We start from the raw sequence: 24,348 nt of genomic DNA, 5'->3' as shown, positions 1-24,348 counted from the left end.
TGGCCGGGTGCTCACGCGGTCCTCAGAGGAATGTTCTCCCAGGTTGCCTCTCTGAATTTCTGGTGCCCTTGGAGTCCAGGTTTTGTTCTGTTGAGAGACAAAGTCTCGCTCTGTTGCCCAGGTTGGAGTGCAGTCGCACAATCACAGCTCACTGCAGCCTTGAACTCCTGATCCTGAGCTCAAGTGATCCTCCCACCTCAGCCTCCAGGTAGCTGGGACTACCTGGAGGTGTGCATCACCGTGCCTGACCTGGAGTAGGGTTTTTAAAACTAATCACTGAGATGCAACCTTCATGGTGTGGCCTCTGTCCTCATGGTGGGACCCCTGGTCCCTGGGAGATCAAAGCACACCATTGGAATAGAGCCCCTCTCAGAGCTTTCCTCACCACGCCATGTCCTTGTCCTTGGGGGCTAGAATGTGACAGGCATGCTTGTTGTTTCGCTGAAGCCGGCCCCCCAAGGACTCTTCCTCTGAGCCACGGAAAACCATTCATTTTCTTTCAGTAACTGAGTCAGAAGTAATGCAACAGTATTTCTTAAAAAAAAAAAAAAAAAAAAAAGGTTCTGTCATTCTGACTCTAAATGACAGCGTCCTCACCCACATTTAGGGAGCTTCCCCTCTGTTGGCACTGGTATAAAAATTGCCATTGTTTCAGGGTCTGAGTTTAGAAACTTGTGGGTTAGACCCTTGTTTCATGGAACCCACCCCCGCACCCCCATCAGCTTCGGGCATGGGAGGGGAGGGGCCTGAGGAACAGGGCTCACCCTGGACAAATGCAGTGCAAGCAGGACTGGTGCGGCCGGCCCCGTCTAATGGCCCCTTTGCAGCCTACACCCTGTCCCATGCAGCGGGGAGGCTTTTGTGATCTTCATTACATTATTTCTTATAAATCATTTCTTCTTGGGTCATATTTCCTATTAGGTTGTTTATGTAATGTTTAATTACAGACAATATAGAAATATATAAAGAAAATGTTATGGTCACATTTGGGCTTATGGGTTTTCACCGAACTCTCAACTCCTGTCAGTTCAAACATTTTTATAGTAAAATGTTGAAAAAAATTCATTATCTCACTGCCGAGACAGCCACTGAGTAGTCCATTTCTGTCCTGGGTGGTGTTTTTTCTGAACATGTATATATCTTACAAAACCATGACCACAGAGTGCTGTTGTCCTGCACATTGGAGGGGGATAGACCCTTGCTCGTGGAACCCCACAGTCAGCTCCAGGGGTTGGTGCAGGCCTTTCTCCACATCTTCAGGACTTGTCAGCTCCCCCTCCGTGAGCCGCAGGACCATCCACTGTGTGCCTGCCGTCGGCCTCCGCCTGCATGGCCATGACTCCCTGTGACAGCTCACACTCCAGTGCACACCCTCTGAGGCAGCCCTGCCATGTCTCAGCCCTTCCCTCCAGGGCCAGCACCTTCCCAGAGGTGGAGTTACTGCACCAGCCCCTCACCAGGCTCCAATCTCCTGTGCCCCTCCTTCGCCCGCCCCAGACTTCCCACATGCCCTGAACCAGGTTTGAAGTCTCATTTCTGGCTGGAGTCCTGAGCTTCCGGAAGGCAGAGTCAGCAATAAGAAGATGCAGGCATGAGTTTGGGTCAGATCAGCACTCGAAGGCAGAGGAGACAAAATGAAGCCGCCTGCAGCCATGGGCATGACCCACTGGAGGAGTGAGAGACAGGCACCATGGGCTGCAGTGCCCGGCCTGGTTGATGCTGGCCTCAGCTCGTGCCTGCCTGCCCCGCCCTCCTGCCTGGAAGGCACTCAGAGCTCATGGGCTGTACCTGCAGGATTTTCCCTGGGGTGCTGTATGTTTGAGTGGGGCTCCCAGGCCAGTTCTAAGTTTGTCCTGTAAGAATCCAGACTCTGGACTTTAGAAGTGGCCACGCCCTGACAGCAGTGCCTAGATCTTACCTGATTGTGGGGCACACTAAACCAGTGCCCAGAAAAATGTCAGAACAGCTTCAGGTCACAGAAGGCATTAAACCAAGCATAATTAAATGCCGAAGTGCATGATCCAGGCGATCATTCTGTGGGCTTTCACAAGAAGCTGCAGTTCGTGCAGACTAGAATTATTTCATAGCGCATTTCGAGTTCTTTGATGTTTCATGCTTCATCTTTGAAATCCATGTGAGTTTCACACTCAAGGCCATTACTCGTTCAACCTCGTTTTCCTATAGAGTGAACCGGACCCTCCTTGGTCTGGCCCTGCCTGTGTGCCTTAGCCTCACTGGCCATGTCCTCACCCTCCTCGGAGAAGCTGCCCTGTTACCCACAGAGGGTCTCAGGGGCTGACCCCTCCCGCTACTTGTGAGAGGGAGGGACGTAGGCCGGCTGCACAGACACAGGTGACCCCCACTACAGATAGGGCGCCTCGGGGATGGCCACACATCACAGCTGCTGCTCACTGACTGGATGGTGGTAGTGAGCAGCCAGTGGTGCAGACAGGGTCTCCCCGTCACCCTCAAGTGACCAGTGTGTGCCCCATTCAGGGGTGAACGCTGGGAGCCCTGAGTCTGTCCCAGTACATGGCACGTATAGGTGTCCACAGAGATCTGCTATGGATGTCAGGGTGCTGTGGGGGCCATGCAGCAGGACCGCAGCTTAGGGCTGTGCTCACAGAAGAGGCCAGAGGTTTGCCACCCTGAAAGAACCTCATTTGCCAGCAAAGTCACTGGGCAGGGTCCCCAGCCCCCCGCATCAGGTTGGCAGCAATGAGGGAGATCCCTTAGGAGAGAAGTGGCCCTGTTTGCATCCCCAAGGCACTCCTACTCCTGGACGGTGAACCAACCACCAGCCGGATGCTTGGGCCGGGCAGGACCTGTGGTTCCTTCCAGTGTGGCCACGGAGCATTCAGACTCATTAATTCATGGTTAGTTACTAAACCTCAGGGCAACCCCCACTGCCCTGGAAACCGGCCACCCTTGAGGTGGTCCTCCTTCACTGATACCCACAGGGGCCCTCCACCCCTTTTGTGGAGCCTGTCTTGCTCACCACAGCAGCGTAGCTCGTAGGAGGGGAGGAGAGGGGAGAGGAAGTGCTGAAGACGCCTGGAATCTGCTGGGCCTGGAGGTAGCAGGGGATTGCAAGCAGAGCAAAGGGTAGAGACTGGCGGGGAGCTCTGGGGACGGAGGCTCTGGCTTTACAAGACTGGTTCACCTGGAAGGCCAGCTGGGCCTCTCAGGCTGCCTTCTAGAGTCTCAATTTGTCTTTCTTCCTTTCTTTAAACTTTTATTCACACGAAGTGTTTGGGACATACAAAAGAACTTGCATAATGTACATAGGATAACAGTGAACACCTGTACCCCCAGCTGCTCACCGGAGGCACGAGGACATGATCAGCACCACGTAAGCCACTGTGAGCACCCAGCGCCATCCCAGCCCCACACCCCAGGGCTAGCCTCTGACTTGAATTTTCCTGTTTCAGCTCATCACTTTTTTAAAAAAACAGGCCGGGCTCAGTGGCTCACGCCTGTCATCCCAACACTTTGGGAGGCCGAGGCAGGCTAATCACCTGAGGTCAGGAGTTCGAGACCAGCCTGGCCAACATGGTGAAATCCCATCTCTACTAAAAATACGAAAAAATTAGCCGGACGTGGTGGTGCATGCCACCACGAGTAATCCCAGCTACTCGGGAGGCTGAGGCGGGAGAATTGATTGAACCCAGGAGGCGGAGGTTGCAGTGAGCCAAGATCACACCACTGCACTCCAGCCTGGGCAACAGAGCGAGACTGTCTCAATAATAATAATAATTTCAACATGTATATGTGTGTCCCTGAATAGTGTTTTCTGGGGATTTGTTTGTTTTTGAGAACTTGATAAAATACACGTTACCATCATAATCCAGTCCTGATGTGCAGTGCCTTCTTCGTCACCTTTCCCATGGTGTTGTGAGTAGCTACTGTTTGTTCATTTTTATTGCTGAGTGGAGTATGCCACCGTGGAGGTGAGCACGCCACCGTGGTGGGCATTTGGCACTGTTACCAGAAGGCTGCTGCAGCCTCCCCAACACCTCCTGGTGTGAACAGCAAGGTTCCTCTGCGACGTGCATCTGGGAGAGGACTGACCACATCTTGGGGAATGTGTACCTTCTGCTTTCCAGTGAAGACACTTGGAGATGACTGTTCTCACCGTCTCGTTCACATCCGTAAGCAGATCGCCCTGCATTCGTGCCTACTCTTGCTGCTGCCCGGCTTTGCCTTCCCACCGCTCTCCTGGTATTGCCTGTGGCTTCCTGTGCCTCTGCCTTGGTAACTGATGCAGTGGAGCCTCTTTCCATACACTTTGTTGGTCAGTTTCCTCGTTTTCTTTTACTTTTAATTTTTTTAAAGTAATTCATACACATACTTAAAAACAGGTAGTTCCAGTTGGCTTATGATGAAAGCCAGCAGATCCGCTTTCTCTTTCCAACCTCTCCAGACAACCATTTGTGGCTTTCTCAGTATACTTCCGGTGTTTACCTTCATATTTCTAAATAACATATAGTGCTATTTCTTAATTTATTGATTTAGATATTCTCTGTTTACTTTGTTTCGATAGATGAAGGTGAAGCGTTCTTACACCCTCACACAGTCTGTCCTCACCCCACCCATCACCCACATACAGTTAAAACTCACGTTTTTATTAAATCAGTAATCACTGTTTACATGATGATGCCTTCAAAACCATCATTTACCGCTGAGGCAAGTAGTGTACTTCATTTTCTTTTCTATGTAACTTTTTGTTTTTCCTGGAATTAATTATTGCTATGTCTTTTTACTTGCTTTATTTTCTATCTTCATGGATTAATTTTTTCCAAATGATTCCAGAATCTGCCACACACCTACCATTCATTTTTTCCCACCAAATGCTCAGTTGTGTCAGGCCATCTGTCCATTCCCCCTCCACCCCAACTCCTTTTTTTTTTTTTTTTTTTTTTTTTTGAGACGGAGTCTCGCTCTGTCACCCAGATGCGATCTCAGCTCACTGCAGCCTCTATCTCCTGCATTCAAGTGATTCTCCTGCCTCAACCTCCCAAGTAGCTGGGAACACAGACATGTGCCACCACTCCCGGCTAATTTTTGTATTTTTAGTAGAGATGGGGTTTTGCCACCATTGGCCAGGCTAGCCTCAAACTCCTGACCTCAAGTGATCCACCCACCTCGGCCTCCCAAAGTGTTGGGATTACAGGTGTGAGTCACCACGCCTGGCCTTTGCCCCTTTTTTCCTAGAGCTTCTGTCCCCCTGCTCCTGACAGGCCCAGTGGGATGTTTTGCTGACATCCTGGAACCGTCCCCTGGGTTGGAGCTCCTGGCTTCCAAGTTTGTTTGTTTGTTTGTTTGTTCTGTTTTTTCTTTTCCTTTTTTGCTAAATGAGATGCCTACTCCAGGATCTTCCTAAAATAAGATTCACAGAAGGTAAATTTCCTAAGTCTTTGTATGTCTGAACACATCTCTACTGTCCATACTTGATTGATAGTTTGGCTGGGTATGAGATTGGTCATTTTCCTTCTGCCTTTTGAAGACCGTGCTCCAATGGTTTCTAACATACGGCGTTGCAATGGAGAAGCATGCCATTTATGTATTGTTTTTTTTGTCCAGATGCTTCAAGGGTCAACTTTTTAGTCCTCTGTTCATTCCCCACATTCATTTGCTCGGCACTTGGTCAGCCATTTCAGTCTCCGTGAATGATGTACTCCAATTCTGGTTATTTCTGTCATCATCTCCTCTATTTTCTCTCTCCCCTCTTTCTGGAAGCCTTGCTGGCAGGCACTTGGAGCACCTGAATGGATAGACCCTGCTGGATAGTGATAGGCACAAAGCCCCTGCTTTGTGGGGTCCCAGGTGTCAGTGCAGGGAAGACTGCTCTGGGGCACAGACCCTTCAGCAGGGGGTGCGAGGCAGGGATTAGATGAGCCTGGGCTCCTGAGGGCAGGGGCTGGGGACCACCGTGAGTGTGCAGACCATTCCTCAAACCTCTGAGCCATGAGCCGCCCCCTTGGCACCTCCAGAGAGCACATGTCAGAGAGCTGCCTAGATCTGGGGTGGGCCATTTGGGGAGTCCTCTGCACCTCGCCACACCCCGCCCTCTTCCTGCTTCTGTTTGACACCTCCACCCCGCCTTTTGGCAGATGACAGACTGGAGAGTAAACAGCAGATGCGTCTGGCAACGCATGCAATGGAGGAAAGAGGACGGAGCACAGGAGGTGGGACAGGGCAAGGCGCAGCTGGGGCACCAGACCAGAGGATGGCCAGGACGTGCCTGTGGCCAGCAGTGCCTGCAGTGTTTGGCAGAGGGAAGGGGACAAGGCAGAGGGGAGGGGAGGGCTCTGCGTGTTGGGCATGGGACTGGACGCCTCTGGCTCCTAAAGAGTCCCACCGGCTATGGAGGGGCGTGCCAGGTAGTGGCTTCCATACCGTTCAGGCAGGTGTAGGTAGGAACTGGACGGTGGCCAAGGGCAGGTCACCCTGCCTGGATCAGCTGTCACATCTGCAGAAAGGGGCAGGAACACCCACATTTGGCTGCTGGCCTCACAGGCAGCTTCTAGAGTCTGGCTGGCCCTTTGTCTATACCACAGGCCGTGTCTAGGGGACAGAACAAGGGGACCCAGGGCATGGCAATGTTCTGAGCAGAGAAGGTGCACAGGGAGCCGTGGGGACAGCGTAAGCCATTGGGCCTTAGGGCAGGGGCCTCGGTCAGCTCCTAAGGCTCCCCCAGGTGCAGTGTCCGTTGCGCCATTTTATTACAAGACGCAGAGCCGCTGGGCCAGCACTGCTAATATCTTTGAACACACCCGCCTCCCTGGTGTGGTTCCCCAGCAGCTGTCCCTGCAGCGGGAGGCCTTGGTCCAGAAGGGTTATGTGGGACATGGGCGCAGGAAGGACAGGTGAGGCTGACAGGCTTGGTCATTCCAGGGACCATGAGGGCTTTCGCTGGCTCAGGTGCCCCTTTCCCCTGCCGTTGCCCCTGTTGGTGCCTGCTAGACCTCCTGTGCACAGAAGGCCTTGGCAGAGGAGAGAGCCAGGCCTGGGGCAGTAAAGGAGAAAGCTTCCCCTCCAGTCCTCTGAGGGCCCCGGACTTAGATGGCTTTCAAATGAGTGTCTGTCTTCAGCAGCTCACCCTCCCAGCTTTTTCAGAAACCAAAGAGTAAATTGCTCACGGCTTCTCTAAGTGGCTCACACACAAAAAACCCGAGTCATTTCAATGGCTGGACCCAGAAAATCGAGCCCTCTTCTCTCCTCCCTGTCTCTGGCCCCCAACTCTGCCTCAGTTGCCCTGGGGTCTCACTGTCCCCTCAAGACACTGCCCCTGCAGGCGCAGGCAGAGAGGCCTTTGTTCCCCTCAGCTGTGTCCCCTCAGCTGTGTAGAGAGGATGCTGCCGTCGGACACGTGGTAACTGAGCCTGCTGCCACCCCCACCCGTGATGGTCAGTAGGTCGCGTGCCATCTGGGGCTACTAGAGCCGGCCCACTGTGCATACTACATGTGCCTGCTGGGTGCTCTGGGCTCTTCTCGCACTCCTGCACTGGCAACCGCTTATCTTTTTGAGCTGGGTCTTAAAGGTGGAGAGGTCTGACCAAGGGGCGGTCACTCACACTGGCATTCCAGTGAAGGGCATGGCCCATGCAGAGACCAGGGGTGATATACCCGTGTCCTCCTACCTGCAGACCGTGACGGTGCTGGGGAGGGGAGGGGGCACCAGGCCACATCGGGAGGGCAGCAGGTAGACGCTCCAGCCCCTCCACGGCAGAGGCCCTGAGCTTTGCAGGGGTGAGGAGGCTGTCATTCAGAAACGTCGCTGCCAGGGAGAAGGGACTTAGAGAAGGGAGCCTTGTGGCTGTGGCCCATGGCTGCCCTCACCACCAGGCTCCTGCCTTCAGGTGGCCAGGGGCCATCTGAACGCCCAGGGGACCTGGGTATGGGGTTGGTGTAGACCATGTCTTGGCCCTTCCCAAGGTGCCGGCTTCACCTCCATCCCTCTGTGCTCTGGTGCTGACCTGGCATTTGCAGTTATGTGCCCTAGTGGCAGCCGCTCGAGCTTGGCTGCCAAGACCCACGGTGTGGTCAGACCACTGTGTGCGGCTGAGGAATGAGTTCCTCCCAGGAGGGGAAAGCCCTCGGGTCAATCGGGGCCCTCGTGCCCACCCGTCACTGCAGGCCAGGATCGTGGCAGGTGGCAACCCCAGCTTTGAGTGCTGCGTCTTCTGGGGCTGCAGCCGCCCACTGTGAGCAGGAGGGTGAGGGCAGGTAGAGTCTGTCCTGCCATGAAGCTGGAGGCTTTGACAGCAGGGGCGGACAGAACTGAGCAGAAACACTTCACAGCCTGGCCACGAGCTCCCCGCTTTGTGCTCCCTCCCTCGCATTTCCCCGTGTTCTGCACCCCCAGAGCTGAGGAGCCAGGGCCCTTGTCCAGGAACAGGCTGGATCGAGGCCTGGTGCCTGCATGCATTCCCAGGTGGGAGCCAGGCAGGTGACCCGGACCCTCCACCAGCCCAGAAGCAGCCCTTCCACCGAGGGGCCTCACACCACTTCTGCCTGCTCCCTCAGTCATTAGGCCCAGCGCTGGCTAGGTGGCTCCAGACATGACCAGCAGGCTCTAAGGCTCATCAGCGTCTTCTGGAGCCTGCACGATACACACACAGGCACAGGCTACACCATGGGAGACCCCATCTGCAGGGTGCCAAGCCCTTGCATGCTTGGGCCTCTGACGGGATCTGTCCCCGCTGCTAACCAGGCACAGGGCAGCTTGCTCTGCAGGTCTTCCAGTCAGCTAGCACAGACCCTGGCCAGTGTCATGACTCTGTGGCCCTGGGCAAGTCACACACCCTCTCTGGGCCATGGGCAGAGGAGCTCATGATGGAGGCATGCCTTGGGCTTCAGGGGATGGTCCCTGAATGGGTGTGGGGCTGGGGCTGAAGGACCCGCCTGTGGGCTGGGGCGCTGAAAATGGGAGAGGAACTGAGCCATTTGTGTTTCCCAGATGGGGCCTGCTGCACTGTGCACAGCGTGTCCTTGCCCTCAGAGTCACCCTTGGGGCCAGAGTCCTTGTGGCTGTAACTCACAGGGTCATTGGCTGGGGCTAGGAGGGCAAGCTTCTCTGTTGGTGGACACATCACACTGTGGTTTTTTGTGTTCAGAAGAAACCTGCCACACTGGCCTGTCTCCATCCATTTGGTCACGGCCCCACAGGAGTGGGGAGCGGAGGTCCATGCGGCCCTATGCCTCCCCTGGACACAGGGTCAGCTAGGAAGGATATGGATAGCCTCTTCTGAGCAGTCAGGGCCTCGTGAGCCTGAGGCAGGAGACAGAAGCCTGCCCCGGCCGCCTCGGGCCCTTACTCCCTGGCCCTTGGTCATTATTGTTTCTAAAACGTTTGTCTCACCTGCTACCTGAAGAAGGTCCCGCCCTCTGGCCCTTGAGGCCCCGAGTGCCCAGGAGCTGCTGCCATCAGCATGGATGGGTGGTACCAGGCAGGCTGTGGGTGCAGGGTGCTTGGGGAGGGCCAGGTGTGCCTTGGGACGTGTGAAGTGGGAGCCTGGAGCAGGGAAACTGAGGCCTGCTCTCGCCCCTGCTGCCCACAGCTTATCTGCCCCCTGGAGACCAGCCGTGCCTGACCCTGGGGTCGTCAGCTCAGTCCTGCTGGGTCCTTCCTCCACCCCATCTGCTGAGAGCTCCTCCAGGGCAGGGTCTGAGCCTGCCAGGCCACAGAAAACACTGGGCGGATGACAGCTGCCTGTCCCTTCCTCGGCAGTCTGCATGCAGTAGTGCTGGCCTTGCTGCCTGCCCCTGGAGCCATCACTGGCTACCCCGCCTGCTTCAGAGCTGCCACCCCTGGGGCTTTCTGACATGTCCTCATAGGCGGGGGTGGCCTGCAGTGGCACCGCACCACTTGCCAGGCACTGTGCCTCCCTCCCTGCAGGGAGGTGTGCGGTCAGATCAGGCAGTTGCCAGCGGACACCAAGAAGCGCTTTGTGCTCCCCGGGGTCCCTCCATGCCCCCCACCCCCACCCCTGCCCAGGGCAGTGTGAGGGGAGGAGGGGAGCAGTGTGGGTACACTTCCATGTTGCCATCTGGGGAATCCTGGCGGGGGGTCAGGGCCCTTCTGGAGCTGCTCCCCCGGGCAGTGAGGGGCCCTGTGGGCTCCTAGGCTGCCTGCCTGGCCCTGGTTCTACTTGGCCTGAAGCCCACCCACCCCAGCGTGGACAGGAGCCAGGAGGAGGAGCCCTCTAAGAATGACTGCAGCCTCTCCCGGGGCTGAGCCCACACACACACACCGGGCATATCCACAGCCGCCACCACGTTTTACCCACCTGTCCAGTGTCCTGACGCCTCCAGCCCAGCGTCATAGCGAGCCTGGCAAGGACATGCTTCATGCTGGGCTCCTGCCGCGCAGGGGAGGGTGGGAGGTGGAGTCTTCCTTGGGTCGTTTCTCCCTTGTGCACGCACCGTTACATACTGTGCAATGCGTTGGTGTCTTGGGGGACAACCCAGCAAGTAGAGTTGGTGTATACGTCATGGCTTCCTCTGGGGTCCTGGGCTGGCTGGTCCGCTGGGCACCCCCCCCCCAACCACCACCAGGCCTTGGCAGGACCCTGGGACTGGGACTGGAGGTGACCCTCGCTGGCCCCTGCCCACCTTCTGTTCCTGCTGAGTGGCTCTTTGGGTGGCACCATGCCCAGGCTGTAAACAGCTGGTGAAGACTGCTGGCCTCAGGCGGCTGTGGCTCTGCGACTTCTCTGGATGCGGTATTGGTGGCTCCACCCACCAGCAGGAAAAAGTCAGGTTGTCCCTCCAGAGGAGCCAGGCCAGGCGCTGCAGGGCACTGTGGTGGTCATCCTGGGTAGCCATGTGACCGTGGCATGCTCCTTGGCATCTCTGATACCGGGTTTTGAAACGACTGAGAGCTAAGTGCAGGAGTTGGTTGGCATTAGAGGCGAAGCCCAAACTCCTGTAGTGGGGACTTTGACTCAGAGCAGCCCTGGTAGCCCCCCTCATGCTGCGTCACAGCCCTCACCTCCTCTCCCCGTCTCCTTGCAGGAAGTTCTACTACATCACCCTGCTACGAGACCCCGTGTCCCGCTACCTGAGCGAGTGGCGGCATGTGCAGAGGGGTGCCACGTGGAAGACGTCGTTGCATATGTGTGATGGGCGCACGCCCACGCCTGAGGAGCTGCCGCCCTGCTACGAGGGCACGGACTGGTCGGGCTGCACGCTACAGGAGTTCATGGACTGCCCGTACAACCTGGCCAACAACCGCCAGGTGCGCATGCTGGCCGACCTGAGCCTGGTGGGCTGCTACAACCTGTCCTTCATCCCCGAGGGCAAGCGGGCCCAGCTGCTGCTCGAGAGCGCCAAGAAGAACCTGCGGGGCATGGCCTTCTTCGGCCTGACCGAGTTCCAGCGCAAGACGCAGTACCTGTTCGAGCGGACGTTCAACCTCAAGTTCATCCGGCCCTTCATGCAGTACAATAGCACGCGGGCGGGCGGCGTGGAGGTGGATGAAGACACCATCCGGCGCATCGAGGAGCTCAACGACCTGGACATGCAGCTGTACGACTACGCCAAGGACCTCTTCCAGCAGCGCTACCAGTACAAGCGGCAGCTGGAGCGCAGGGAGCAGCGCCTGAGGAGCCGCGAGGAGCGTCTGCTGCACCGGGCCAAGGAGGCACTGCCGCGGGAGGATGCCGACGAGCCGGGCCGCGTGCCCACCGAGGACTACATGAGCCACATCATTGAGAAGTGGTAGTGGCGGTGGTGGCCACGGGGAGGCCTCTTGGGGGGTGTGGGGGATAAAACAGGACAGACGACAGGTCCACCCAAGACTGTCAAGGGATGAGCATCCCAAACCTGCTCCACAGAGGTAGCTGCGTCCTGAAAAAAAACAGAGCAGGGATGTAGTGGGGCTGGGCAGGGATGGGGGCTTGAGAAATCAACAGGTGCAGCCCAGTGGGTCAGAGGAAAGCGTGCTCGAAGGATGCCATGGTCAGGGCAGGGCCTCCAGAGCAGGTGTTGTGCCTGGAGCTGCTCTCCTGGCCTCCTTGGATTTATCGCAAAAACTGAAGGTTTGCGCAAGAGACGAGGACAGCGGAAAGTGGACCTGCCAGGCCGGGAGTGTGTCCCTCACCAACTATGCACACAGCACTCGCTCTTAGCTCCTCTGTCCGGGCTACTAGGAGTGAGACCAGCTTCTGGCAACTGCCCCAGCTCCAGGCCATCCCATAGCCCCTCCTCTTCTGGCTGCCCCCAATGCCCCGAGGCCTGGGGAGCCCCCAGCTCACCCATCTGTAGCTCCCTCAAAGTCAGGGCCCACCCCATCTGAGGCAGAGAAGACTCGAGTCCAGCCCCCAGGAAGCCTGCTCCCCTCTCTGGCCCATGGTCCTGCTTCATGCTTTGGGTCAGGAGGCCAAAGCTGATGTTCAGGCCCCACCCACTCCCTACAGTCCTCAGACCAAGGAGGGGTTTGGGTAGTAGGCCCGAGCTGCATTGCCGGCCTTCCTCGGGCCAACTGGCAGCCCAGGAGTGGGGAGGCTTTGGCCAGGGATGCTGCCACTTGTGCGTGAGTCCGCGGCTGGCCCTTGGAGGTGACCATCCAGGCAGGCCTGGCTCAGACTGGAAGGGCTGGGGACCGAGGGCTCCCCTGCCTCTGTTCTCCTTTCTGACCCACTGGGATTTGCTAGCAGGCTGCCCCAGCCCCATCACCGAAACACATACTCAAGAGCTCAAATACCACTGCTCCCACCAGCGTACGGATTAAGTTCATCAGGCTTCCATCGGCTGGAGCATGGGACCATAGCCCCTGCCCAGGAGCCGTACCCTCGGACCACAGTGGCTCTGTATGGCCAGGAACTGGGACTCGAGCTTTCAGATTCTCAACTAGCCTTGGCAAAACAGCTGTAGGTGGCCTCCCTGACAACAGACACTCAGCCCTCCCCACCCTGGCTCTCCTTGCATTTCCCCATGCTCCCCACCCCCTGGCAAAAGGCTGGCCATGCTCTGTTCCCAGCAGCCGCGCAGGTTTCCCCACTGGCTGCAATGGCCCTACCAAAAGCCATGTTGCATATCCGTTGTAAGCACGTGCCCTGTGCCCTGTCCCCATTCCTTATGCCCTAGGAGGCCAAGCTGGTGTCTCTAGGAGGGCCCACACAGGCACCCTGGATCCCCCAGAGAGTAGATTGGTGTGCTCAGGCCGCAGGCTGACTCAGAGGTAGGGCAGTGGGCTCTGCAGGCCACCTGGCTGGGGTTGGTGGGGGTCCTCTCTCCTGCCCCAGCTTCCACTCAGCCACCACAGTTGCCACACCATGGGGTGGAGACGTGGGTCACCACGGGCTTGGGAGCAAGCGCCTTCTGCAGCACAGGAAGCCGAAGCTGGGGTCAGGTGAGGTCGCTACCCCTGGAGGTCTGGCATAAGGGCCCCACCCTCAGGTCTCCTACACTGGCCCCATTTTACTTTGGGGTCCAAGGACAGGATGGTCAACAGGGCAGGGTGGACAGCGTGCCAGCGCCGCGCAGGGCCACCTCCCTGGGTGGATGCATCACACTAAGGAAGTGAGTGCCAAGGGGATTTAGTGGTGTGGTTCTTTCAAAGGGAGGTCAGGGTCAATGGGAATCTGCTCGGACACTCAACATGGGGGTGGGTGCACTCCTTGGAGGAGGAGGAACACGTTCAGGGGATTGTGAGGTCTTGCACAAGCCACGTGGGGCACCTTGGCTTCCCGGCAGGAGGTGGACACCCAGCCAGAGGCCTGGCTCAAGGTGACCTCACCTTCACCATGGGCTTCCTGGGTGCGCGGGCCTGAGCGCAGGTTGTTTTGTACATATTGGAATATGTGTTAACTTATGCCCCGCATCCCAACTCACACGGAAGCACGGGTCTTGTCTCAGTCTCTTCGCTGCATTTGGAAAGCAGTCTCCTCTCGGGCCAGCGCCGGGCTGAGGTGTCCAGAGGCGGCGGCAGCTGGCAGTGCCCTCAGCCCCCAAGTGTCCAGCCTGGCACTTCCCATTCAGGCCACCTGCTTTGGGTCAACAGTTCCTTTGCCAGCAGCATCTCCTAAATTGTAAGGACTCTGTCCACCGGGGCCCTCCCAGGGCTGTGAGGACGGAAACAGGCAGGGAGTGGAGCTAACAGCTTAGTCACCAGGACCCCCAGACCTGCAAACGTCCCCTCCTGGAAGGGGAAGCCAGGAACAGCAGAACTGCCCACAAAACAAGGCTGTGAACTTTTCGGGAACTGGAACTGTTTAACTTGAACCCAGGATTGTTTAAAGCTTTATTTATTTATAGCTTCTTCTTAAAAAAAAGTGTTGAAGAAATTTTTTGGTTATTCATACAAAAAAATGAGTTGATGATGGAAAAGCAAGTCATAATCATCTAATTGTTTTTGTCTAGGTCGAGAATGAATGTTAGCTGATGAAATAAACCCTGACAAGGAGTGGCGGGTGTGCTGTGGTCTCTGCGGGCATAGCTGCCCCTCCCAGTGGGGTCTCACACCACGTCCCAAGGGCGGGGTGCTTTGCACAGGTGCAGGAGGCTCAGTGAGGAAAGTCCCATTAAGTAAGGCATTCTGAAAGAAAAAATGGGACTTTGTCATCACCATAAAGAGTAACCGTTTATTAATCATTAGTGATAGTATTTGGGAAGATGACACCAGTTGAGAGGGAGGCAGGTGCCACTGAGTTACATTCTCATTAACCTCTTCCCTCCCTGTCTTTGGAAATTTTGAAAGATTTCAAATGACAAAGAGAGTGGAGGAATAGTTCATGGACACCCACATGCTCTTGGCCTAAATTTTTCACCTTCTCTTATCCTGTGCCCACACTTTCTCATACACGCACACACGCGCGCTTTTCTGAAACATCTGAAAGTAGGTTGTGATCATCAGAATACTGCACTCCTAAATCCATCAGCTCGTGTCTCCTAAGGACGTTCTGCCACAAAACTCAACCCTGTTATCCCAGCCCCCCCCCCAGATTTTATAACAATACAGTATTTTCCAATATCCAGATCTTCTGGTTGTCCTAGAGATGTCTTCAGAGCATTTTGTAGCCCCAGGACCACACGGTGCCCCATGTGCCTCTCCTGTCTCCTTGAATGGAGGAGAGGGTCCCAGCTACCCCTTCTTTTTTCCGTCTTTCTTAGGATTGACATATTTGACTAGTAGAGACCAGTTGTCTTAAAAGGTCTGCTGATGTTGGCCGGGCGTGGTGGCTCACACCTGTAATCCCAGCACTTGGGGAGGCTGAGGCGGGCGGATCACGAGGTCAGGAGATCGAGACCATCCTGGCTAACGCGGTGAAACCCCGTCTCTACTAAAAATACAAAAAATTAGCCGGGCTTGGTGGCGGGCACCTGTAGCCTCAGCTACTCAGGAGGCTGAGGCAGGAGAATGGCATGAACCCGGGAGGCAGAGCTTGCAGTGAGCTGAGATTGCGCCACTGCACTCCAGCCTGGGCAACAGAGCAAGATTCCTAAAAAAAAAAAAAAGAAAAAAAAGAAAAAAAACTACAGATGTCAGTTTCCTAGTGGTCAGATTCGGTGAAATTGGGTAGGAAGGCCCTCGGGTGAGGCACCTTCCATCAGCCCAGGTGTCCTGTGGCTCTGTTCCCCAGATGAGGGAAGTCCAGCCTCCCCACTCAGCCCCTGGGGAAACCCAGCCATAGTGGTCACCTGCCAGCTCATACCTGCCACCATCCCAGTGACAAAGGTCACCAGGGTGTTTCTGGGAGGGTCACGGCTTCTACCTGCCACCATCCCAGTGACAAAGGTCATCAAGGTGTTTCTGGGAGGGTCACGGCACAAGTAGGGCAGGAGTCAGAACGTAGCTGCCTTCTTAAAACCCCAGTCTCAGACTCCACGTCAACACCTGCTCATGCCTAGGTAGAGTGCGGAAGGGAGGAGCAGAGGCCAGACGCCAAGAGGAACTCCCGAGTCCTTCCTGGACACTTCATGCGGAGGTTTATTTGGGGTGTGGACCAGCCCTCAGCCTGGCTTCTCCCTCGGGGGAGCCAAGATGGAAGCTTCCTCCACCTTCTGATAGTACCACTGGACTCTGTAGGGCCAGTGTCATGATCAAAGGTGAAATCAGACCTGAAAATACCTCACCCAGAATGGGGGTTTTCCTCTTCCTGCTTCTCTTTAGAGTTGAAGGCCACCTTTTTTTGTTTTTAAAGACAGAGTCTTGTTCTGTTACCTGGCCGAAGGCCACTTTATTAAAGTCCACCTGAGGCCAGGTGCGGTGGCTCACGCCTGTAATCCCAGCACTTTGGGAGGCCGAGGCAGGCAGATCACTTGAGGTCAGGAGTTCGAGACCAGCCTGGCCAACATGGTAAAACCCTGTCTCTAACCAAAAATATATAGTCGGGCGTGGTGGCATGCGCCTGTAATCCTAGCTACTGGAGAGGCTGAGGCAGGAGAATCGCTTGAACCCAGGTGGCAGAGGTTGCAGTGAGCGGAGATCATGCCATTGTACTCCAGCCTGGGCAACAGAGCAAGTCTCTGTCTCAATAAATAAATAAATGAATGAAGTCCACCTGAGCCAAAGACTCAGGAGGCTCAGGCCTGCCCCCTGCCCAGCTCTCATCCCCACTTCCTGCCCACTGCCACAGAGTCCCCACTGTGAGCGTCAGGCTCACCCGATCCTCCGAGGTCCCCTGCCCCCTTCTATCCTGCCAGGGAAACCCACATCTGCCCTTGCTCCCGGGCCTGTGGGTTTGGACAAAGGCAGCTCCTCTACCACCCAGCCTCGTGGCCAGCGCCATATGCCTCATCCCTCCTGCCCCGGCGTTCTGTCTTCACACCAGTTGCTCCAGCCATGGCCAGCCACGGCCCTGTCCCTGGATGGGCCTGTTAGGCCTGCTCCCCACTGCTCCCCTTGGGCTTCATGCCAAAGCCATCAGGCCAGTATCAGTCCTCACACCCTGTTCAGCTGGGGGCACCTTTGCACACAGCGCTGGGTTCTCTTCCTTGGGGAAGCTGGGCCCCAACTAACCCTACCTAGACGTGGTCTAGGTGCCTGGCTTGGGGCCCCTGGTCCCCTTCATTGTGGCACAGAGAGGAACCCATCCTCAGGCCACCCTCGCAAAGGTGGGAGCCCTAAGTCCTCTCCCGGGAGTGTACACCTGGACTCGGGGAGCTTCCAGCCTAGGAGGACTCGGAGGGCACACAGTGTATTCATGACATGAGGACACCTTCCTAGGAGGGCCTCACCTCAGGGCTCCAAGGACACCCCTGGCGGGGAGAGCCTGGGTCTGGGTCCCCTGACATGTAGCAGCAGCAGCAGAGAAACCTGCAGGAGTCGCTTTGTCAGATGAGGTCTTGGGTTCCAAGTGGACCACTGGCTGCTGTTTGCTCCTGTGCCTCCATTTCCTTCTCTGTGAAATGGGAAGGCTGGGCCAGGTGTGGTGGCTCACGCCTGTAATATCAGCACTTTGGGAGGCCGAGGCAGGCGGGTCATCTGAGGCCAGGAGTTCGAAACCAGCCTGGCCAACATGGCAAAACCCCACCTCTACTAAAAATATTAAAAATTAGCCAGGAGTGGTGGCGGGCACCTGTCATACCAGCTACTCGGGAGGCTGAGGCAGGAGATCACTTGAACCCAGGAGGCGGAGGTTGCAGTGAGCCAAGATCACGTCACTGCACTCCAGCCTGGCAACAGACTTCGTCTCAAAAAAATAAAAAAAAGAAATGGAAAGGCTGCTGTGAGGATCTGGCTGCATCGGGGGAGCCAGGCCTGGCCCCACACCTGCCCACAAAGGCGGACAAAACACTGACCACAAATGAGCCACCTGGGGGCTTGTTGAAAGCACGGAATCCTGGCCCCACCCACTGCCTTGCCGCTGCCCAGCAAAACCATGTGGGCCCAGCCTCTCCTGTGGGCACACCCACACACTGTCCCTCTCTCTCCCCTTTCTTTCCCCCAAAGGGCCATGACCGTTTTCCATGCAGCCCTGCCCGGCCCTGCCATCCTGCTCCCAGCCCCACGCTGAGAGGACACCTGTCTGCCTCCCTCCTGCCGGCCCTGCTCCCTGCTGCCTTTCACTGGCCTCCAGCTCTGTCTGCACCAACACTCCCAGCTCAGCCCCGGGCCTCGGGCTTCAGGGGGGACTTGGGCTCCTGGGGCAGACCCAGAGGAGGGTCTGAATTCATTCAGCACTGCCCAGACTTGCCCAAAACGTGGCCTCTTTAAAGAAACTACTTACATCCTGTTAAGCCACTCGTCCCCTAGCAGGGACAGGGCGCTCACACATGGTCCCCCTCACCCCACCTTGTAGAGGGATCATTGGTCTCGCCAGGACCGCCAGCTTCTGCCTTCAGCAGCTCCACTGCAGGGGTGTCCAGGGCGGCAGGAACTCAGAGTCTAGTCTCTTGGCTCGGGCGAGACACAGAGACCCCTTCTGGGGCCCAGTCTGTCCCCTCTAATGGATGCCCTGCCCTGAGCCCCCACCTCAGCCCCAGGTCCCCCTCGCACCCCAACCGTGTCTGAGCGCCCACTGCCGTGTCTACTGCACTGCACCCAGCCAGGCCTGCCAGACGCCCCTCGCAGGATTCCAGGTGGGCGCCACAGCCCATCTCCCAGCGCCCGGTCCCAGCAGAGGCCACAGCCATGGAGGGCTGAGGTGGGGTGTCTTCCCTTTCACCTGTGCCCCGAGACTTCCCCACCCCTTGCACCTTCTCACTGTCCCCTGCGACAGGGCGTCCTGACTGCCCTGTCCTCCCACCCTGCTCTGTGGCTCCTCGGAGCCCTGTGATTTCTATGCAAGAGGAAGCCTGGGGACTTTGGAAAACACTTTTCTTTCTCAAACAAAAAGCCAGGCATTCAAGACAAGCCTCTCCAAGACTCCAGGGAGTCAGCCTGGAGCCGTGTGGCTCAGGCTCAGGAATGCTTCTTTGTTCCCTGCGGTGCCCGCCCAGCCCCAGAAGCCGAGAAGGCCCGGGTCCCAACCCGGGGAGCACCAGGCAACGTTGCTCGTGAGGGCTGAGCGGGTGGGCCCACTGCTGCACAGCGTCCTCTCCGGGCAGCACCGCCTGATGATGCCTCAGGCACAGCAAGAGCTGGAAGGGGCCCTCGGCTCTGGGAGAAGGACTTCCAGGAGAGCTGGCTGAGCTAACAAAGGCCGCTTGTGTGACTCACGCCCTTGCTTAGGAAGCGGCCCTGCACAGCCTGGCTGCTGCTTCTGGGATCTGCCGAGAAGTGCCGCTCGGGAAGTGGCCTGAAGTCGGTCCCTTTCCAGCGGGCACTCCATGAGGGCAGGGGTTTTTCTACCTGGAAGATCTGAAACTCAGGCATCGTGGCAGAGCCTGCTAGCTGTGCCTTGGTAGTTGTTCTCCTCTCCTTCCTTAGTAGTAGAACCACTACATATCAGCGGTGACACAGCAAGCCAGAATCAAGACTACACTTCCCAGCCCCCTTTACAATGACATGTGCTGTCACTACACCCTGTGGCCAACAGTTTGCAAGAGGAAATGTTCCTTGCAGCTTTGGGAGACAATCCTGAAACAGAAGCAACTTCCTCCCTTTCTCCTACTGAATGGCTACAATGAGGATGTAATGGCTGGAGCTCAAGCAGCCATGTTGGACCATGAAGTAGATGCCATGTGGTGAGGGTGGTCGAGCAACAAGATAGGTCCTTGATGATTGTGGAACCACCCTAATAGCTTTGGGATGCCTACCTTAAGACTTTATCCATGTAAAATAGAAATAAGTGTGTTCTGGCCGGGTGCAGTGGCTCACATCTGTAATCCCAGCACTTTGGGAGGCCAAGGCAGGTGGATCACCTGAGGTCAGGAGTTAAGAACCTGACCAATATGGTAAAACCCCGTCTCTACTAAAACTACAAAAATTAGCTGGGCGTGGTAGTGGGCACCTGTAGTCCCAGCTACTCAGGAGGCTGAGGCAGGAGAATTGCTTGAACTCAGGAGGCAGAGGTTGCAGTAAGCCGAGATTGCACCACTGCACTCCAGGCTGGGTAACAGAGTGAAACTCCGTCTAAAAAAAAAAAAGAAAGAAAGAAAGAAATGTGTACCTTGTTAAGGCCACTGTTGCTTGGGGTTTCTGTCACTCTCAGCTGAACCTAATGCTAACAATGGTCCGGCCACTAAAGATCAAATTCCTGCAAAGAGCATAGCTGGAGGCTGCAGCCCATGTAACAACACCTTCTTTCCACCAACTACTCAAGACACTGCTGCTGTTCCTGGCTTCATTTATGTGGAAGTGTTAAAAGGCCCAGAGAGGGGAAAGGCGCTTTTTCCTTTTGTACCTTTTGATTTTTGAAACATGTGAATGAGGCCGAATGCAGTGGCTCACACCTATAATCCCTGCACTTTGGGAGGCTGAGGCGGGAGGATTGCTTGAAGTCAAGAGTTCCAGACCAATCTGGGCAACATAGCAAGACCTTGTCTCTACAAAAAAATAAAATAAGATTAGACAGCAGTGGTGCTGCATGCCTGTAATCCCAGCTGCTTGGGAGGCTGAGGCGGGAGTATCAATTGAGCTGAGGAGTTGGAGGTTGTCGTGAGCCGAGATCAAGCCACTTCATTCCAGCCTGGGCAACAGAATGAGACCCTGTCTCACAGAAAAGAAAGAAAGGGAAAAGAACGGGAGGGGAGGGGGAGGAGAAGGAAAAGAAAAGAGAGAGAAAGAGAGAAAGAAAGAAAAAAAGAAAGAAAGAAAGAAAGGAAAGGAAAGATGAAGACAATGAAACATGCATGAATTACCCATTCAAAACATAAATAGCTGGAAATAAAAACAAAAGCAAAATGGAAGGGAAGATAAACACAAATTCATGACAGGAATTTTCTCAAAATTGCAAAATGGGGACTTCTCAGGCTGGAGGAATAAGGGAACATCAACTTTATCTGTAACACTTTACATATTTTGATTAGAAAATAAGACAAGAAGAACAATCATCACCTCTGAGTGATAGGTACATTTATATATAAAAATTTATAAATTTATAAATCTATTAATATGTATAAATATTTGAATCTTATATAAATGTGTATATATCTTATATAACAATAGTATATATTAACAATATAAATACATATAATAAAGCATAAATACATACTAAGGATACATGTTGTTCTTTGGACTTTCCTGTGTGGTTATGTGTCTCAAAATAAAGTCATAATTTGAACAAGCCTGCCTGTGAGTTCAGTGCAGAAGCCTGGACTACCTCAGGCTACCAGCTCCCGAAACAGGAAGGGACCTGGCACCCACAGTCAGGTCCAAGCACTCCTAGGACATGGACAGAGGACCAGGCTGGTTGGCACCTCCTGGGTGGCCAGGTGCCATGAAGTCAGGGGAGCCGAGGGACACGGGCTTTAAGCTGTTCCACACCATGTTGCTGGATTAATCATGGAGCAATGGTGACACCAGTCCTGGTTCCCCTGGGGAACACATCTCTGTTCCCCCACACATCTGTTTTGTCCCTTTTCACAAGAGCCCCCAAGACCAGCTGCCACAGCCCCACTGCACACAGCGCTGCCTGGGTGAGGGGACGTCCACTGAGCCAGCAATGCTGAGGGGGACACCTTGGTGGAAAGGGCCCTGCCTCCCGGCCGACCCTGTGGCCTTCTTGTGGCACATGACACAAGCAGAACCAATCAGATCACTGCCCAGGATTTCTTATTTAAGATTTTTATTTTTTTCAGATGGAGTCTTGGTCTGCCCCCAGGCTGGAGTGCTGTGGCATGATCTTGGCTCTCTGCAGCCTCCACCACCTGGGTTCAAGCAATTCTCGTGCCTCAGCCTCCCAAGTAGCTGGGATTACAGGCGCACTACCAAGCCCAGGTAATTTTTTTTTTTTTTTTGGTATTTTTAGTAGAGATAAAGTTTGGCTATGTTGGCCAGGCTGGTCTTGAACCCCTGACCTCAGGTGATCCACCCACCTTGGCCTCCCAAAGTGCTGGGATTACAGGCGTAAGCCACCGCGCCTGGTCCGGGAGTTTAGATTCTTGTTTTGAATCTTTTCCTCTTCTCTAATGGAAACATTTCTTGCCGTACATTTGCCTCTCAACACTGCTTAAGCTGCCTTCTATAAATTTTAATGTTACATTTTTATTCTTAGTTCAGTGTTTAAATTTCACTTTAAGGCTTCCTCTTTAACTCATGGAATACTTAGAATGACATTGTTTAGTTCCCAAATGTTGGGAGATTTTTCTGTTATCTTTCCGTTATTGATTTCTAGTTTTATTCCATTGTGGTCAGAGAACATGCTCTGTATGATTTCAATTATTTTAAACTTGTTGAGATTTATCACCCCGTCTATGGTCTGTCTTGGTATATATTCCATGGACACTTGGAAAGAAGGTATATATACTGCTGTTGTTGTGTGGAGTGTTTTACAAATGCCAATTAAGTCTGTTCATTGTTGAATTCTTCTATATCCTTGCCAATTTCTGTCTAGCTGTTCTATCAATTTTTGAGAGAGGAATATTAAAGATTCTAACTATAATTGTGGATTTATCTATTTCTCTTTTCTCAGTTTTGTTTCACATATTTTGTAAGTGTCTTGTCTGGTGCATACACATTTAAAATTACAATGCCTTCCTGGTGGATTTTGACCAGTTTAGCATTATATACTGTCCCACACTATGTCTGGTAATTGTCTTTGCTCTGAAGTTTGCCTTCTGATATTAATATTGTCACTCCTGCTTTCTTTTGATTAATCTTCACATGATATATCATTTTTCATCCTTTTACTCTCAACTTGCCTATATTGTTTTGTTGTTGTTGGTTTTGGGGTTTTTTTGTTTGGTTGGTTGGTTTTCTTTGGTTGGTTTTTTGCTTTTTGAGACATGGTCTCGTTTTCTCGCCCAGGCTGGAGTGCAGTGGCACAATCATAGCTCACTGCAGCCTCTACCTCCAGGGCTCAAGTGATCCTCCCACCTCAGCCTCCCACCTCAGCCTCCCAAGTACGTGGGACCACAGGCACATGCTGCTACACTTGGCTAATTTTTGCATTTTTTGTAGAGATGGGGTTTCACCATATTGCCAAGGCTGGTCTCAAACCCCTGGCCTCAAGCAATCCTTCTGCCTCAGCCTCCCAAAGTGCTGTGATTACAGGTGTAAGCTACCACACCTGGCCAGCCTATATTGTTTTATTTGAAGTTAGTTGCTTGTAAGCAACATAGAATTGGGGCATGTTTTTTAATCCATTTTTTTTTGTCTTTTAATTCGTGTATTTACACCGCTTACACTTAATATAATTATTGACATGTTAGGTAGGGCTTAAGTCTAACACTTCATATTTTGTTTTCTGTTTGTCCTCTCTTTTTTCATTTTTCTATTTTCTTTTTCTTGCCTTGGTGTGGTTTGGCTGAACAATTCTTTAGAATTCTATTTTCATTTATCTGTAGTGTTTTTGAGTGTATCTCTAGATATAGCTTTTTTAGTGGGTGCTCTAGTATTACATCAGTATACAGAATTTATCACGGTCTACTAGTGTCATCATTTTACCAGTTTGCATAAAGTATAGAAACCTTACCTCCCTTTTTTATATCCCTTTTTTCTCCCCCATTTATAATTGTCTTAATAAATACTTCTTCTCCATACACTTAGAACCACATCAATGTTACAATTTTTGCTTCAACCATCAGATACAATTTGGAAAACTCAAGAAGAGAAAAGCCTATTGTAGTCACCCATATTTCCGCTTACCATGTTCTTTCTTCCTTCCTGGTGTTTCAGGGTTCCTTATTTTATTGTTTCCTTTCATGTTTAGAGACTTTCCTTTAGCCACTCTTTTAGGGTAGGTGTGCTCGTGACCACCTCTCTTGGTTTTCCTTCATCTGAGAATGTCTTGGTTTATTCCTGAAAGATTTGGGGAGCGGGGGTAGTAATGAGATTTTGGGTTGACAATTCCTTTCTTTCAGCACTTGAAAAAAAATTATGCCACTTTCTCCTGGCTTCCATGGTTTCTGATGAGAAATACACTGTCATTTCAGTTGTTTCTTCCTCTAGGGGTAATGTATTGTTTTCTCTGGCTACTTATTAAGATTTTTTTTATCTTTCATTTTCAGGAATTTAATTATGATGTATGTTGGAGTGGATTACTCTGAACTTATCCTGTTGGGCATTCATTCAGCTTCTTGAATACATAAGTTTATGTCTCTTGCCAAATTTGACAAGTTTTCAGCCATTATTTCATCGCATACTTTGCCAGCTCCACCCTCTTTCTTCTCTCCTTCCAGGATTTGGATGGCATTAATGTAAGATCTTGTTATAGGCCCACAAGGTTCTGCTCATTTTTTTAAATCTGCTTTTTATCTCTGTTTTCAGATTGGGTAATTCCTTTTGTTCTGGCTTCCAGTTCATCGGTTCATTAGTTCTTTCCTCTGTCCCCTCCATTTGCTATTGAGACCATCTGC

The 24,348-nt window shown here is 53.6% G+C and overlaps 1 protein-coding gene across 1 annotated transcript in view, besides 9 other annotated features; it reads left to right on the top strand.

The window, feature by feature from the left end:
- HS6ST1 (heparan sulfate 6-O-sulfotransferase 1) overlaps window positions 1-14,410 on the top strand; it is a 53,389-nt gene extending 38,979 nt beyond the window's left edge. The window contains exon 2 of the mRNA NM_004807.3: window positions 11,020-14,410. Within this exon, the coding sequence (NP_004798.3) occupies window positions 11,020-11,728 (709 nt within the window). The 3' untranslated portion in view covers window positions 11,729-14,410. The remainder of the gene's footprint in view (window positions 1-11,019) is intronic.
- Window positions 7,972-8,633: an enhancer, noted in NCBI's record as "H3K4me1 hESC enhancer chr2:129028831-129029492 (GRCh37/hg19 assembly coordinates)". NCBI's record gives its function as "activates a minimal SCP1, AML or CMV promoter by ChIP-STARR-seq in naive H9 embryonic stem cells {active_cell/tissue: H9 hESC(naive)}" and the evidence as "EXISTENCE:reporter gene assay evidence [ECO:0000049][PMID:30033119]".
- Window positions 8,634-9,295: an enhancer, noted in NCBI's record as "H3K4me1 hESC enhancer chr2:129028169-129028830 (GRCh37/hg19 assembly coordinates)". NCBI's record gives its function as "activates a minimal SCP1, AML or CMV promoter by ChIP-STARR-seq in naive H9 embryonic stem cells {active_cell/tissue: H9 hESC(naive)}" and the evidence as "EXISTENCE:reporter gene assay evidence [ECO:0000049][PMID:30033119]".
- Window positions 8,921-9,215: a silencer, noted in NCBI's record as "tiled region #3737; K562 Repressive non-DNase unmatched - State 19:H4K20". NCBI's record gives its function as "represses a minimal TATA promoter and a strong SV40 promoter by Sharpr-MPRA in K562 cells {active_cell/tissue: K562}" and the evidence as "EXISTENCE:reporter gene assay evidence [ECO:0000049][PMID:27701403]".
- Window positions 8,921-9,215: an enhancer, noted in NCBI's record as "tiled region #3737; HepG2 Activating DNase matched - State 14:Gen5'". NCBI's record gives its function as "activates a minimal TATA promoter and a strong SV40 promoter by Sharpr-MPRA in HepG2 cells {active_cell/tissue: HepG2}" and the evidence as "EXISTENCE:reporter gene assay evidence [ECO:0000049][PMID:27701403]".
- Window positions 16,816-17,317: an enhancer, noted in NCBI's record as "H3K4me1 hESC enhancer chr2:129020147-129020648 (GRCh37/hg19 assembly coordinates)". NCBI's record gives its function as "activates a minimal SCP1, AML or CMV promoter by ChIP-STARR-seq in naive H9 embryonic stem cells {active_cell/tissue: H9 hESC(naive)}" and the evidence as "EXISTENCE:reporter gene assay evidence [ECO:0000049][PMID:30033119]".
- Window positions 17,332-17,901: an enhancer, noted in NCBI's record as "H3K4me1 hESC enhancer chr2:129019563-129020132 (GRCh37/hg19 assembly coordinates)". NCBI's record gives its function as "activates a minimal SCP1, AML or CMV promoter by ChIP-STARR-seq in primed H9 embryonic stem cells {active_cell/tissue: H9 hESC(primed)}" and the evidence as "EXISTENCE:reporter gene assay evidence [ECO:0000049][PMID:30033119]".
- Window positions 18,473-19,043: an enhancer, noted in NCBI's record as "H3K27ac-H3K4me1 hESC enhancer chr2:129018421-129018991 (GRCh37/hg19 assembly coordinates)". NCBI's record gives its function as "activates a minimal SCP1, AML or CMV promoter by ChIP-STARR-seq in naive H9 embryonic stem cells {active_cell/tissue: H9 hESC(naive)}" and the evidence as "EXISTENCE:reporter gene assay evidence [ECO:0000049][PMID:30033119]".
- Window positions 18,473-19,235: a biological region, named in NCBI's record as "Sharpr-MPRA regulatory region 14953".
- Window positions 18,941-19,235: a silencer, noted in NCBI's record as "tiled region #14953; HepG2 Repressive DNase unmatched - State 1:Tss". NCBI's record gives its function as "represses a minimal TATA promoter and a strong SV40 promoter by Sharpr-MPRA in HepG2 cells {active_cell/tissue: HepG2}" and the evidence as "EXISTENCE:reporter gene assay evidence [ECO:0000049][PMID:27701403]".

This window comes from Homo sapiens, chromosome 2 (assembly GCF_000001405.40).
Source record: "Homo sapiens chromosome 2, GRCh38.p14 Primary Assembly".
In the NCBI taxonomy this organism is placed as follows: Eukaryota; Metazoa; Chordata; class Mammalia; order Primates; family Hominidae; genus Homo; species Homo sapiens.
Note: the sequence above shows the minus strand (reverse complement) of the source record. Positions and strands in the feature narration are given on the sequence as shown.